This window comes from Homo sapiens, chromosome 20 (genome assembly GCF_000001405.40).
Source record: "Homo sapiens chromosome 20, GRCh38.p14 Primary Assembly".
Lineage (NCBI taxonomy): Eukaryota > Metazoa > Chordata > Mammalia > Primates > Hominidae > Homo > Homo sapiens.
In genome coordinates, this window is record NC_000020.11 from 24967255 (window position 1) to 24983529 (window position 16275).

Consider the following 16275-nt stretch of genomic DNA (forward strand, 5'->3'; position numbering starts at 1 on the left):
ACTGCACTCCATCCTGGGTGACAGGGCGAGGCTCCGTCTCAAAAACAAAAAACAAAAAAATCTTCAATGACTTGGATTACATTTTGAATAAAACTGAACCTTCTTTCCAAGTCCATGGGGCTGTGGTCCTCCCTCTCACCCCTCCTCACCCAGCTGCAGGAAGACTCCATGTTCCCTCATGCTTGCAGCCCCCTCCCTAACTGTGCCCTCAATCAACGGTACGTCCTCGCACCTACATGTGCCAGGCACTGTTGCAGGTGTGGAGGATGACAAATGAACTATGCATGAACTAAACAGAAAAACACCTGCTCTGATGGTATGCACATTCTATTCAGGGGAAGAGACACAACCACCACTCATACTACCCTACGCTAAGGGCACTATGTGCAGATTCTCACTAAATGTTCCCAGCACCTGATGAGGCACTATTATTCTTTCCACTTTACAGACAGAGCACCTGAGGCAGCGAGTCCAAGTCCCCGGCCCAGGATCCCACAGCTGGTCTGGCAGCCTCCAAAACCCCTGTGCTAGCCCACCTGCCATTTTGCCTCCCCCTAGGTCCCAGCAGGAACAGATGCTGTCTCTGGAGCCAATAAGGCAAAGAGAAGGACAGATTTCTCAACAGATTAGGACTTCCCACACAGCGACCCACAGAACTCACATCACTGAAGGCCGTGAGCCAGTCTAACTGAGAATGTGCACGCAGCCCCCAGGAGGGGTCCAGACACACAGCCCAGCAACAGGACTCAGCAACTGCTGCCTGTCAGCCCCAGGACCATAAGCTAGTATTTCCATATCGGTTCAAATATTCAGTATCAATTTAAAATACCTATTCAGCCTGTGACACGGAGCTTGCTGGAAAAGCAGATCTCTGTATTACACAAGTGCCCACATCAGCAAGTGACCCCTCCACAGTGTAAACGTGCTGAGTTATTATGTGGGGTGCTTCATGGAAGCCACTGGGAAAATGGCAAGATTTAAAGGCTGTGTTGAAGGGGCTGTTGTGTTGAAGGGGCCATGGCTGGCCATTGGTGGGGGTGGGTGACTTTTTTTTAAAAAGGGAAAGATTTGGGTGTGGTAAGAGGTCAAAGGGCAGAACTCCATAGAGAAGAGTGCCTGGCAGTGAGGCTGCAAGAAGGCAGCAGGGAGCAGGCGGGATGGCAGCTGTGGTGACTAGGTTACAGGGGTGGCCACACCTGCAGGGAGGGGAGGAAAGGGCACCTGCCGACTCTTTCCCTGAGGAGGCAGAGAGGGGGGTGGAGAGCACAGAAGGCCTGGCAAAGCCATGGCAGATGGAGGAGCAAGACTGACAGGCACGCAGATGCCCAGAGCCACGATGGTGAGGGTGGCAATCAAAACACCCAGAAACAGGGAACCAGAGACTGACAGGCAGGCAGATGCCCAAAGCCACGATGGTGAGGGTGACAATAAAAACACCCAGAAAAAGGAAAACCATAAGAACCAAAGGGTCCAAATGTTTAAATCTGCATTTCAGGATGAAGAATGAAATGTGTTTCTAAGTGTCATTCAGAGCCAAATACTACAAGCAGAACTAGATTTTTAAGCTATAAGGGTCAAAAAAATATGATTCAATTCATTTCCATTTTCTTTCTTGGAATAACAGTTTTCACAGTTACCTTAAAAATCATCCTTTTAATCCAGGGTCTCTCAGATAAGAAATCCAGCATGGAAAACCCAGGGTTAGGGCGGATGGTCGACATGCCCACCCAGTACCCCCCAGAGCTGCTGGGCCGGATGTTGTCTGGAAATCCAGGCATGTTCTCCACAAACAGATCAGCCCCGCCCTTCATCAGGCCAGAAACGTAGACTCTGAAAAATTCACCCAAGCAGAGAGTGAACCATAGCCCCTCAATTTCAGAAAAAAAATTTTAGCCAAGCACCAAACTGGTCTTGGTCCAAATATATATATGGAAAGTGCTCTATGACCATCATGAACAAAGGCTCAGCTGCTGAGAAGAAACCTTTGTGCACAGGGCCCAGTATGAACAGAGGGGAAGTAGGTCAGGGGAGGACCAAGGCCCTGCCAGCAGGGGAATGGGGCCCGGGCTGCACCAGTCAGCCTTAAGACACTCTTCCGGACTGCGACTCGCAATGGGAGAAAGAAAGCGCACCCTTGAATTTTCTTTAACATGCCATGCAGAAGGTGCGCTGCTGCCTCTGATTTCTGTCGATCCCATTTCCATGCCCACCCCACCCCGGCCATGATGCGCTCTGGCCAGTAACTGATGGCTCAGCTAATCCCACACACACCTTCGTATCCTGGCCATGGTTGTTTCTGCCACCAGGACAAAGTCTTCTGCAGGAGACAGCTGGACTCCATTCGGGAACCGCAGCTGGTCCAATAAAACTTTTACTTCCCTGGTCACAGTATCATACTCCAGCAGGCTGTGGAACACCAAAAGCAGAGGGTTATGGGGGAGAATCCCTGGCTCCCACTCTGGGCCTTCAGGGTATGGGCCTGAAGAAGGTGACTCCGCCTCACCCCGGAGCAACAGGCCCTGGGTGCCCTGCTCAAACTTGATTCGAGGCTGGCCCCTGGGGGCCCTTCCCCATCCACAGCAGATCCAGTGTCCCCTCCAGGGAACCCCAAGGTCAGTTATCTTGCTCACCTGGGAGCTGGACAGGAATACCCCTCAGAGAGGCAACCCAAAGCCCAGGCCTGCCTCCGGGGTCTCTCTCGACTGCCTAGACTTGCACCCTCAGACGGACTGGCCTGTTTTATTTCCTCAGAGAAAACGAAAGCACCTTGTTCCATTTTGTGACATCCATCACCTGCCTCCAGAAGCCACTAAGGTCCTGTCCTAGAAGCTGAAATATGATGCTGGAAATACTCCCTTGGTCCCTAGAAGTAACAGGCTCTGCTGAAGCAACTGGCCTGGCTGGTGAACTCAACAAATGGGAGACCTGGAGCAAGGCCTCACCGCCCGTCATCTGTGCCCTCCATCACCAGAAGCAGGTAGTCTCGTCTTTGCCATTTGCTGCTAGAATCGGTGAAATAAATCTTCCTCCCATCCTGAGTGACTGTAAGATCATTCACAAAGGACATGTTCTTCCCCTCAATGGGTGTCTCGGAGGACAGCAGCAGTTTCACTTCACCTGAAGTTTAAAAAGAAAGAAAAAGATTGACTTGAACTAGGAACTTCTCAATAATTGCAAAATATTAACCAACCTAACTGATTTAAAAAGAAAAACTGAAACTTCTCCATGTCATTTGTCAGAAGATTTATTCCTTCTTATAGTAAAAACAGTATTAGGTGTTAAATGATTTTTTTAGACTAATTTCATTAAAGGCAGAATCTTTTCTATAAGGATGAGGAATTCCTTCTTTTACTAAGGCCAACTGACTTGATAACATCTACTGCAAGTGTTAGGCAGGCTTCAGTTCTATTTGTTAGTTCTATTTGAGAGAAATATGACATTCTACTCATCTCCTTTTAGAAAAGAAAAGTAGTAGTAAGTTTTGAAAAATAATAGAAAGAACATGGATTGAGTGCTAAGCACTCTCGAGGTGTGATCGCCTTTAAACCCTCGCAACAATCCCACAGGCAGGGCTACTATGACCCCAATTTGATGAGGAAGCTGGGCAGAGAGCAACTAAGGGACCTGCAGTCACAGCTGGTGGCCAGCAGAGTGGAATGCCCCCAAGCAGCTGGGCTGCAGGGCCTATGTTCGGGCCCCCACGCACAAGACAACGGACTCCTCCCCAGCAGGAACCTCCACTGAGACACACAGCACGTATTACAGCCTGATCAAGGGGACTCATGAGCAATCAGGGGAGAGAAGAGGAGGAACTACAGGAGAAAACAGAAAGGAAGAGACAAAGGGGAGGGCCACAGAGAAGAAAGAGAGAAAACAAATAGACAAGACGCAGAGAGACACACAGAAAAATCAAGACAGAAAGAGGTCTAACTTCCTCAAAATAAGTCCTTTTGAGACCCTGTGGCTAAAATATAAATACTAGGAGGAAATTAGGATACGGACCAAATGGAATCATGGGTAGGGAGTTTTCTGGTGTTTAAAACTAGCTGACTTTTGCAGGCAATGTTTTCAGTACTGTTCAGTGAATAAGAAATATCAGAGTCTTTAGTAGACTGTTGCTAACAAATCCTATTAAGTCTACACATACATATATTGTTTAAAAGATCTAAAATCTTCATAGAAGGAAACGAGATATTGTCACATACGTTTCCAGGGATTTACTTCAAATAGTCCCTTGTATGCATCGGCCACAAAGAGAGTCCCATTGGGCCCTGCACGGATACCCAGGGGTCTCCCACACACAGGCTCATCATCTCGGGTTTCTAGAAAAACAAACAGATGGGGATTGGTAGCTGGTCCCGGATTCTACATGTGCTGTTCTCAGTATCCAAGCATCTCATCCATCCCTTCCCATACATCATGCTGTACAGAACAAGACAAGACCATGGCATTAGAGCTACAACTGCCCTGCAGGTGCTCACTGCAGGTGCTTATTGCAAGGTGTTCATTGTGGGGTGCTCACTGCAGGGTGCTTACTGTAGGTGCTTACTGCAGGGTGTTCACTGTGGGGTGTTCACTGCAGGTGCTTATTGCAGGGTGCTCACTACAGTTGCTTATTGCAGGGTGTTCACTGTGAGGTGCTCACTGCAGGTGCTTATTGCAGGGTGTTCACTGTGGGGTACTCACTGCAGGTGCTTATTGCAGGGTGCTCACTGCAGGTGCTTACTGCAGGGTGTTCACTGTGGGGTGCTCACTACAGGTGCTTACTGCAGGGTGTTTGTGTAGAGTGCTCACTGCAGGTGCTTATTGTAGGGTGTTCACTGTGGGGTGCTCACTGCAGGTGGTTATTGCAGGGTGTTCACTGTGGGGTGCTCATTGCAGGTGCTTATTGCAAGGTGTTCACTGTGGGGTGCTCACTGCAGGTGCTTATTGCAGGGTGTTCACTGTGAGGTACTCACTGCAGGTGCTTACTGCAGGGTGTTCAAGTGGAGTGCTCACTGCAGGTGCTTATTGCAGGGTGTTATTGCAGGGTGTTCACTGTGGGGTGCTCACCACAGGGGCTTATTGCAAGATGTTCACTGTGGGGTGCTCACTGCAGGTGCTTATTGCAGGGTGTTCACTGTGAGGTACTCACTGCAGGTGCTTACTGCAGGGTGTTCAAGTGGAGTGCTCACTGCAGGCGCTTATTGCAGGGTGTTATTGCAGGGTGGTCACTGTGGGGTGCTCACCGCAGGGGCTTACTGCAGGGAGTTCACTGTGGGGTGTTCACTGCAGATGCTTATTGCAAGGTGTTCACTGTGGGGTCCTCACTGAAGGTGCTCACTACAGGTGCTTATTGCAGGGTGTTCACTGTGGGGTGCTCACTACAGGTGCTTATTGCAGGGTGCTCACTACAGGTGCTTTTGTGGGTCATTAACTGTAGGGTGCTCATTGCAAGTACCACTGCAGGTGTTCACTATAGGTGCTCACTGTAGGTGCTTACTGCAGGGTGTTCACTGTGGGGTGCTCACTGCAGGTGCTTACTGTAGGGTGCTCACCATGGGTGATCACTCCAGGTGCTATTGTAGGTGCTGACCATGGGTGCTCACTGCAAATGCTTATTGCAGGGTGTTCACTGTGGGATGCTCACTGCAGGGTGCTTACTGCCAAAATGGCACGGAAAAAGGCAGGTTAAAGAACTGATGTAGGGTATAATTCCATCATACGTGTGGGTGTGCATGTCCATGAACAAAAAGATGTCTGAAAAGTGAACCACTAAAATGTTCATAACAATTACATCTGAAAAGACTCAGGTGATTTTTATTTTCTCCTTTGTACCTTTGTGTTGTTTGTGTTTATGAAAATACATCACTTTAATAAAAACATTCCAGCTATTAAAAAATGATAACTATTAAGTCTATAGACTATCAGTTTTAAACAGTGAGTCTTCTACTCTAGTTTTCCAAAATTTGAATGACTTAAGGGTATTCTCACTTACAGGGCTGAAATTCCTGAGACCAAGGCAGAATAACACTTACACATCCAAGTAATGACAAGGCCACCTACTTTTCCACAGCAGCACTGTGATAACACCTATTAGCCTCTGAAGTACCGCAAAGGTAAACGGGGACCCCAATAAAATGGTGAGGGGCGAGGCCCATGCAGTACCAAGCAGGGGCCACAGCCACTACCCAGCTGCAAAATGGGGACTGTAGGTGACCATCAGGCACCGTGAGGCCCAAGGACCACCCGGCAAATGAAGAGCTCGTAGTGACGTCATGTTCCATCTACTAGATGGTCAGAGGTTCTTTTTCTCCCACAGGCATTCTAGGGAAAAGCAGTTCCACACAACGATCCAACATCTTTCTGAAAGACTGGAAGAGACACATCGAGGGATTATCACCAACTTACTGCAAGGGCCCGAACCAAACCGGGCAATGGTCTCTATTTCACCATTTTCAAGTTTTACGACCCGGCCATCTGCTGTCCCAGTAAACATCACATCTGTTTAAAAACACAAAAAGGAGGAAGAGCAATGTTAGCCTAAGAAATGTGACTAAGCCGCCTTCTCCTACAAGAGGGCTTGTTTACATGTTCCCCCTGCCCTATAGAGGAAATGCCAATTCTCAAGATGGAAGAGAAGCAATTTCTGGGAATATGAAAAATCCTTAAAACTTACAGTGATAAAACTGCGGGGGCCTAGGGAAGCAGCCTGTGGGCATGAACCTGACTCAAAAGCAAGGGTGCAGCAGATACCAGTCAGTGATGAGAACTGTGAGGATTTTCTCCAGTCCTGAAGCACTCAAGCTGACACTCAGCACTTAGGGGCATGAGTTCATATTCACCTCACATCAGTGTCTGCTGCTGATATTGATTATATCCAACTAAAGGAGAAGAACTGCCAGAAATCCTTTAGAAGAAAATTACAGCACATTAAGTGCTTACTTCAGCAGCACATATACTAAAATTAGAATGATACAGAGAAGACTACTAGCATGCCCCTTGAGCAATGATGATACACAAATTCATAAAACATTCCATAGTTTTCAAATGTATATTGCAAACTCAAGGGTAACCACTACAAAAAGTAAAAAAAAGAAGTATAACTGATATGCTAAGAAAGGAGAGAAAATGGAATCATATAAAATACTCAGTTTAAAACTACAAAAGACAAAAAGAGAGTAGAATGCAAAAATAGAAACAAAGAATAAGGGCAAAGAATAGAAAACAGTAACAAATACGGTAGATATTAATCCAATATATCAATAATCACTTTAAACATAAATGGTCTAAATATACCAACTGAAAGAGAGACATTGCCAGAATTATTCAAAAAACAAGACCCAACTCTATGTTGTGTACAAGAAACCCACTTTAAATATAAAGACATATATAGATTAAAAGTGAAGGGATGAAGAAAGTACATCATGTTAACACTAACCAAAAGCAACCCAGAATAGCTGTATTAAATTCAGACAGAGAACACTTCAGACCAAGGAAAGTTATCAGGGATAAAGAGGAGCATCACACAATGACAAAGGGGTCAATGCCTCAAAAAAACATAAGAACCTTTAATGTGTATATGCTTCACAATAGAGCACCAATATGTGAGGCAAAAACTGATGAAACTGCAAGGAGAAACAGAATCCACTATCACAGTTAGAGACTTCAACAATCTAAACAAGAATAATCACATGATCATATCAACAGATACAGAAAAAAACATCTAGTAACATCCAACACCCATTCATGATTAAAAACTCTCAGCAAGCTGGGAGTAGAGGGGAAACTTTCTTAACTTGATCAAGAATATCTATAAAAAAATCTACATATAACATCATACTTATGGATGACAAACTAGAAGCTTTCCTGCTAAGATCAAGAACAAGGCAAAGATGCCCCTATCACCACTCCTTTTCAGTATCATACTTGAAGACCTAGCTAATGCAGTAAGACATGAAAAGGAAACAAAAGGTATACAGATTGAGAAGAAAGAAATAAAACTTTCTTTGTTTGCAAGTGACATAATTGTCTAGATAGAAAATCTGAAAGAATCAACAACAACAAAAAACCCTCCTGGAACCAAGCAATTATAGCATGGTTGCAGGATATTGCAAGATATTGACTCACCTTCCTTTATACTAACAATGAACAAATGGAATTTGGAATTGAAAACACAATACTATGTACATTAGCATCCAAAAGATTGGCATACTTAGGTATAAATATAATATAATATACACGAGGTCTATATGAGGAAAACTAGAATATTCTGATGAAAGAAATCAAAGAACTAAATAAATGGAGAGATATTCCATGTTCATGGACAGGAATACTCAATATTGTCAAGATGTCAGTTTTTCCCAACCTTAATCTATAGATTCAATGCAATCCCAATCAAAATCCCAGCAAGTTATTTTGTAGATACAGACAAATGAATCCTAAAGTTCATATGGAGAGGGCGAAGACTCAAAATATCCAATACAATATTGAAGGAAAAGAATAAAGTCAGAGGACTGAAACTACTCAACTTCAAGATTCTCTATAAAGCTACAGTAATCAAGACAATGTGGTATTAGCAAAAGAATAGAAAAATAAATCAATAGAACAGATAAAATTTTTAGCCCAGAGACAGACCCACATAAATACAATCAACTGATCTTTTGACAAAGGAGTAAAGGCAATGCATAATGGAGAAAAGACAGTGTTTTCCACAAATGGTGCTGGAACAAATTTGTTTGCATCCACATGCAAACAAATAAATCTAGACACAAACCTTATACCCTTCACAAAAATGGAATTCAAAATGGATCATAGACCTAAATATAAAATACAAAACAAATTCCTAGAACATAGGAGAAAATCTAGGTATGATGATGAATTTTTAGATATAACACCTAGGGTATGATGATGAATTTTTAGATATAAAACCAAGGTGAGATACATGAAGAAATAATTAATAAGTGAAACTTCATTAAAATTAAAAACTCTTGCTCTACAGAAGATACTGTCAAAAGAATGAGAAGCCACAGACTGGAGAAAATATTGGCAAACAACATGTCTGATAAAGAACTATTATCCAAAATACACAAACAACTCTTAAAACTCAACAATAAGAAAATGAACAACCCAATTACAAAAATGGGCAAAAGGCCTGAACAGACACATCACCAAGAAGATATACAGATGGCAGGTAGGCATATGAAGATATTCCACATCAAATATCATCAGAGAAATGCAAATTAAAACAACGAGACACCACTATACACCTATTAAAAGGGCCAAAATCCAAAACACTGACACCACCAAATGCTGGCGAGGACATGGAGCATCAGGAACTCTCACTAATTGTTAATGGGAAGGCAAATGGTACAGCCACTTTGGAAACGCTTGGTGGTTTCTTACAAAACTTAACTCTTACCATACAATCCAGCAATTATGCTTTTCGGTATTTACCCAAATGAGCTGAAAACTTAGGTCCACACAAAAACCTGCCCACAGATGTTTATACCAGCCTTATTCATAACTGCCAAAACTTAGCAGCAACCAAGATGTACTTCAGTAGGTAACTAAACTGTGGCACATCCATACAATGGAATATTACTCAGTGCTAAAAAGAAATGAGCTATCAACCCATGGAAAGACATGGAGGAATTTTAAATAAATGCATACTACTAAGTGAAAGATGCCAATCTGAAAAGGCTACATACTGTATGAGTCCAGCTACATAACATTCTGGAAAAGGCAAAACTATGGAGATGGCAAAAAGATCAGTGGTTGCCATGGGTTAAAAGAAAAGGGTGGAATGAACAGGCAGAGCAAAGAGGATTTTCAGGGCAGTGAAAACACCCTGTAAGATACCATAACAGTGGATACATGGCATTTGTCCAAACCCATAGAATGTATAAAACCAAGAGTGAACCCTACCGTAAACTACAGACTCCGAGTACTATTGACGTATTGATGTGAGTACATCACTTGTAACAAACTTACCCTTGTGGTGGGGGATGTTGATCATGTGGGAGGCTGTGCATGGCATGTGTGCAGAAAAAGTATTTGACGAAATGCAACACCCAATCGTAATAAAAACTCTTTTTCAGAAAATCTCTGTACCTTCTGCTCAATTTTGCTGTGAACCTAAAACTGCTCTTAAAAATAAAGTCTACTTAAAAACAAATAAAATAAAGCCTGCTATAGTTGGTGGTTACTCTCTCCCAGCACTCCCCAGAGCTAGTACCTCCTTCCACTGTCAGCAACCTGCCAGCCAGCCCCCAGGACAGCTTCCAAATGAGGTGGCAGAGACAGCAGTGGCAGGTCCCTGCGGCTCACACCCACCAGAGAGGACCCCACTGTGCCTGGCCAAGAAATGTCACCAGCTCATCAAAGAAAGAGAAAAAGCTGGGACCTGGTGACAAAGTACAATGAGAAGTAACCCAGTGAAAAAGAAAAAGACAGGAAAGTGCTCTCTTTGGGAGGTAAGATCATTGGTTTGCACTTCAACTGCTGTTAAGTTTCAGTTTTAAAGAGCAAGATTTGATTTTTCACCAAAAAAAGCTAAAGCTTTTAAAATTTACACAAATAAATGCCAATGTCTTTTTAAGAGAAATACAAAGTTCTATCATGATATTTACTCTTCTTGAAACAATTTTGACTTTGACAGCCAAGAAAACAAACCAACTGCAGAAATGGACCAGTCCTTGGGGCCTGTGTCAAATAACAGGGCCCAGGCAAGAGAAGCTGGTCAAACGTCACTAGAAGAGAGGCCACTGACCGGCCTTGAGAGCACAACAGAAGCACCCTGTGTGCACATATCCACAGCCACCCACTGCCTGGAGAACAGTGTGCTTCAGAATAACAAGCGGCACTTCCAAAGAAGCTGCTCAGCAAGCCCATACCAGATTAAGTTTTAAACTATCTGTGACTATCTGTGCCTTCCCAATACTAAACTTAATTCTCATTTTAACAAACAGAAAATGCCTTGTTCAAGGTTGCTAGAGATGCAAGTATTAGAACCAGACCCAATTCTAGTTCTGAGGCATGGGCAAGTGTGATGCAGATGGTTACCCTTAAGTGTACCCATCAAGGTGAGATTTCAAACAGTCAGACAAAAACAGTGGAAATATTGAGAACCATTTGTCTTCATCACAGTGAAATCTATACAAAGCAAATGGAACTAAGAAATACTGTGCTGTCAAATAGCTATTTAACTTTGATAAATGAACTAAAAATCAGTATCTGTATTTGGCCTTTTTCCTTTCACAACACTTTGAGCACAACAAAGTGTTCCATAGAGATGAATTCAAAATCACCCAGTGCTAAAATGGCATGCAAACTGGGCAGATGAGACCAGCAGAAAGAGCCACTAGGGCCTCCCATGTGATGTCTGAGGGCCAAGTCCCACGTCCGCAGCTAAGAAGGATGTGCAGGGCCCCAGTCCAGGGGCAGCGTGCCACTGCAGCTGCTCCCACAGAACCCGCCCCCTCAGACAACAGACAGCCTGGAAGGCTCCCCCCCCACCCAAGCTTAGACTTACCCCCAATATGTGCTATGGACTCCGGTCCAACAAGTTGATTTTCAAACAGCCTTTCTGCCTGTCGCAGCTTCGTATTTGGATGCAGAACACCAAGCAAGAGCGGGGGTTCTTTGAAGCTGCAAAATAATGCAATTCCAGAGATCTGTCTATAAATACACATGTGAAGAAAATGTGTACCGAGCACCTGCTCTCAGTTCTTTGATAAAGATGGCACTTTCTAACAACATCCTCAGTTGCCAGAAATACAAGGGTTAAGAAAAAACTGTTCTAGGATATCAGAAAACATCATGGTACAAAAGAAATATAAAAATATAAATGTGCTAGTGCAAGACCTTCAGCAATCTTGTCACCTGAGAGCATCCTGAGGCCTGTGCCCACCCATCCTCCAGCCTCCCCAGCTCCCCACCCCCATCCAATGCCTCAGGGCAGCTGGACCTCCTCACCCCTGTGACTCACAGCCCTACAGCCACTGGAGTCTACCTAGGGTGGTGGGGGGCAGTGCCCACGTTTCACACCTGATGACCCGGCCTCGTATTTCACAGAGAAGATGGAAGGAGCAAGGGGAGACCTTCCTGGGACTGGAGCCACCGTCCCATGGTCCAGCACAGGGCACGCCACCTCCCGCTGATATTCTCGAGGCCCACCAGGCTCTTCCTGAAGCAGGAGCCTGAGCTGGGCCCTGGAGCCCTTCTACTCACAGACACGGCTCCAGAAACTCCTGCCTCTACTCGTCCTTCCCATCCACATGCCAGTATGTCACGCCTCCCAACCCACCATCAAGTTCTGCTGAGGCCACTTTGAAAAGACACCATTGAACCCGTCTCCCCATGTCCTCCTTACAACCCTGGCTGGGGCCACCATCCTCTCGCCTCGCCCCTGCTCCCTCCCTTGACCCCTGTAGTCTATTCTCAATCCAGCAGCCATGCCGGATCATGACCTTCCTCTATTCAGAGCCCCACAATGGCCCCCTCTCACCTAGAGCCAAGTCCTGGCAGCAGCCTCTGAGCACCGCAACCTGGCCACAGCACCTTCTTGCCCCCTCTCTCCCTTGTGCCTTCTGCATCCCTCACACCAGCCCCTCCCTGCTGGGTCCTAACCACACCAGCATCTCCCTATCCAGGGCCTTCACACCAGCTCTTTGCTCCACTTGGAACAGCAACCATCCCCCACCCAGGAGGCCCACTCTGACCACCCAACTAAATATCCGATACCTCCCCCGAACCCAGGCCCCTGCCCTACTCCATGCTCCTCATAGCACACACCAGCTTCTCATGCACTGTGTGATCTGCTTCTGTTATGTTTATGGTCTGTTTGTCCCCACTAGAACATACGCTCCATGAGATCAGGGATTTCTTTCTGTGTTTTTCTCTACTGTATTCCCAGCATCTGGCACCCAACATGGCACACAGAAGGCTCCCAACGAGCACTGCTGGAGGAAACCAAAGTAGAGAGGAATATCTTCCGATTATCCCCTGTCCCCTGCCTCCAGCAAGGCAGAGAATTCAAGAACAGGAAGGAGCTAAGCGTTGGGGAAAAGTTTATGACAACAGCAAAAAGAGCTTCTTTAAAGCTCTCTTCACAGCAAAAGAGGAAGGAAGGGAAACCCCACCTGGGGCAATTGGTGCCATGCTACGATGACAAGCAGAGCTGCCAGCTTCGCTCGGCCTCGGTCACCTCAACACGCCGGGCAGCATGGGGTCACCATAGTCAAGAGGCCATGCTCGGCCTCGGTCACCTCTACACGCTGGGCAGCGCGGGGCCACCATGGTCAAGAGGCTATGCCACGATGACAAAAGCAGACCTACCAGCTTCGCTTGGCCTCGGTCACCTCTACGCGCCGGGCAGTGCAGGGCCACCACAGTCAAGAGGCCATGCTACCATGACAAAAGCAGACCTACCAGCTTCGCTCAGCCTCTGTCACCTCTACACACTGGGCAGCGTGGCGTCACCATGGTCAAGAGGCCATGCCACAATGACAAAAGCAGACCTACCAGCTTCGCTCGGCCTCGGTCACTTCTACACACCGGGCAGTGTGGGGTCACCATGGTCAAGAGGCCATGCCACGATGACAAGCAGAGCTGCCAGCTTCGCTCGGCCTCCATCACCTCTACACGCCAGGCAGCGCAGGGCCACCATGGTCAAGAGGATCAGGCCAGCAGACGGGGCAGAAACGGCCACTCAGCTGATGGACGGGTGTTTGGGAGTCTACCCAGGATACTACATCACTCCCGTGAGAGCTTAGACCACACTTAGAAATCTCTAAAAAATCAGAGAACAGGCAGACCAGGAGTATGGAGGGACAAAGAGAAGGATGGTCGCTCTTCCAGTCTGGACTATTACACAGCTGGTTTCAGTACTTGAGAACAAAATCACCAGGAAGGCTGCAGGGCTTTGCCAAAAACCTGCCCTGCAAAGTCACTTTCCCTTCTTTCTGGGAAGATTAGAGGGCTGTCATAGACACAGCATATATGACATCCTGATTCCTATAGCATGTACAGAGTAGTTTTCAAGATCCCTGTGACAACGTGGGGAGATGTGAACAGAGTAACAGGGCATCTGTATGATCACGGATGGCTGGCACAAGTGAAGAAAGCCTGCACTAATGCAGTAATACTCAACTGCAGAGAAGTGACCCACTGTGACCCACAGACTGCACAAAGGTTTTCCTAAGCACTTCTGAGAACCAGCTCTCTGAGGTCCCCCACATCTCTCTCCCTAACACAGGAAGCCAGGGTGTGGGGCACTGCTCTCTCCCTCCCCAGCGGGTCTCCTGTTGGCCCTGCCTGAGTTTTATACAGTGCTTCTATTTGCTCTTGATGTCCCAGACCACCCATAAAGGTTGTTGCTATTTTTTAATATCTCTCAGTTTGACAGTTTCACCCGATAGTAAAATGTGTACTTCTAACAGTACTGCAACTTTCAACTCCCAGTAGAATTACTCTTTCTGTTGGTCTTTAAAATTATAGCAACCAAATCCATTCTCCAAAATGCTGCTCTATTTTTTTTTACCATAAATTTGACTTTAACTGATATTTTTTCAGTGACTAGAAACATTCATATCCTTCTATGAAAAATAAACTTTTTGTTCCCTTCTGGAGAGAAACCATGTCCTTCCACAGAGTGACTGTGGGCTGAGAGGGCTGCAGCTGAGTCAGCACCCGCTGGGATGGCGTGCATGGGGCATGGCCTGTGTTGTGGCCACGTTCTTGCATGAGACACACCAAGCTCTGTCATGTACCAGGCTTCTGCTTCTGCTCTGCATTTTGGGGCCTATCTTCCTGTTTTTGAGTGTGCCATGCCAAAAGCAGAGCCCAGGAGAGAGGCCCCTGTTGGCTGTGATTCCAATGCCATAAGCTGAGCCCAGGAGAGAGGTCCCTGTTGGCTGTGATGGTTCCACTGCCATTCTGAAAGCTGAGCCCAGGAGAGAGAGAGAGACCCGTTGGCTGTGACAGTTCCACTGCCATTCCAAAAGCTGAGCCCAGGAGAGAGGTCCCTGTTGGCTGTGATGGTTCCACTGCCATTCCGAAAGCTGAGCCCAGGAGAGAGGTCCCTGTTGGCTGTGATGGTTCCACTGCCATTCCGAAAGCTGAGCCCAGGAGAGAGGTCCCTGTTGGCTGCAGCGGTTCCACTGCTTCTCTTCCTTTCCTTCCTCATCAGGCTTTTCTACTCAACAGATAGAACTCACTTTGTACAAACAACTTCCAATCCCCAGTAGGCTCTGCTTCCTTTCAGTGTCTGGCCAGGGCCACATACCCCATTTCCCAATGCATTTCTTCACCACTCTTTCCACACATAAAATCATCTTTCCTGAGATCAAAGGTCTTCAATCACTGAGGCTCCAACCTCTCTCTCCAACTCAAAACTCAACCTCAGCCTCCTTTTCCAAGGCCAGCCCCCCAACCCAAGCTTCTAATCCCCAGCTGTGGACACAGTTCACTCCCCCACCTTAGCCAACTGGACTATCTAAGAAGGCCCAGGTCAGTTTCCCTTTGGCTAGAATGAGCCATCCTGCTCTGTAAAGAAGGGTTAGAAAGAGAGAAGCCCCTCCCTCAACACATCAGGGGACCCCCCCCCGCCACCCACCCCTGACGCCCCTCCTTTGGAGACAGGATGTCCTCAGGCCTGGCTCAGGCAGAAAAATCCATCTGAAGACCCACTGGCACACCAGGAATTACAGAGCTGACACTCTTGGAGCGGACTAGAGTCCCCAGTCCTTCACCCATTCTCAATCTTACATGAGCAAATTGTGTGTTTACAGCACCTTGTGCCTTTACTATTCTAAATCCAACAACAAAAAGTTCACTCAGCTACACATGTCAATCTAAGGTCAGAACCGTGTCCTCTACATTCTTAGTGAATCGGATCCAATATAAAGCCTTAATTTTTATGGATAAAACACTACATTATTCAGCTAGTATGTTATATTCACTCTTTAACTAGGTATAATTCTTGTCTGAAGTTTTTAAAGCCTTACCTGGACTAACTCATTTAAAATAAGCTTCAGATGGCTTCACCCCATCAGCAGTTGCAAGGGGAACCAGGAAATTACTGAACCAGACTGCACAACCCTCCTGCAACTATGTCAACATGGAAGTCATAGATCGTCACACTGATGAGAGCCTGGCTCTATCCCACTATAATTATAAACATGAATCTATTTCAGGGGGCTTTACATATACAATAGTTTTTTCAAATTATAATGGACTGCATTACTCATAGATCTCTATCGGTGAAAGGTAACTTAGGAAAAAAAGAACACTAAT

The 16275-nt window shown here is 46.0% G+C and overlaps 1 protein-coding gene and 1 pseudogene across 2 annotated transcripts in view, besides 2 other annotated features; one reads left to right on the forward strand and one right to left on the reverse strand.

Moving 5' to 3' along the window:
* Positions 1 to 16275, reverse strand: part of APMAP (adipocyte plasma membrane associated protein) — a 29827-nt gene that overhangs the window by 4330 nt on the left and 9222 nt on the right. The window contains exons 3-8 of one of the 2 annotated variants that reach the window (NM_020531.3): positions 11513 to 11628; positions 6391 to 6483; positions 4206 to 4322; positions 2943 to 3117; positions 2272 to 2406; positions 1638 to 1830 (exon numbers count right to left, since the gene is read on the reverse strand). In NM_020531.3, the coding sequence (NP_065392.1) occupies positions 1638 to 1830; positions 2272 to 2406; positions 2943 to 3117; positions 4206 to 4322; positions 6391 to 6483; positions 11513 to 11628 (829 nt within the window). The remainder of the gene's footprint in view (positions 1 to 1637; positions 1831 to 2271; positions 2407 to 2942; positions 3118 to 4205; positions 4323 to 6390; positions 6484 to 11512; positions 11629 to 16275) is intronic. The other variant, XM_005260763.4, reaches the window with a different exon arrangement.
* Positions 6917 to 7026, forward strand: RNU6-1257P (RNA, U6 small nuclear 1257, pseudogene; annotated as a pseudogene).
* Positions 12131 to 12631: an enhancer, noted in NCBI's record as "H3K4me1 hESC enhancer chr20:24960021-24960521 (GRCh37/hg19 assembly coordinates)". NCBI's record gives its function as "activates a minimal SCP1, AML or CMV promoter by ChIP-STARR-seq in primed H9 embryonic stem cells {active_cell/tissue: H9 hESC(primed)}" and the evidence as "EXISTENCE:reporter gene assay evidence [ECO:0000049][PMID:30033119]".
* Positions 13393 to 13893: an enhancer, noted in NCBI's record as "H3K4me1 hESC enhancer chr20:24961283-24961783 (GRCh37/hg19 assembly coordinates)". NCBI's record gives its function as "activates a minimal SCP1, AML or CMV promoter by ChIP-STARR-seq in naive H9 embryonic stem cells {active_cell/tissue: H9 hESC(naive)}" and the evidence as "EXISTENCE:reporter gene assay evidence [ECO:0000049][PMID:30033119]".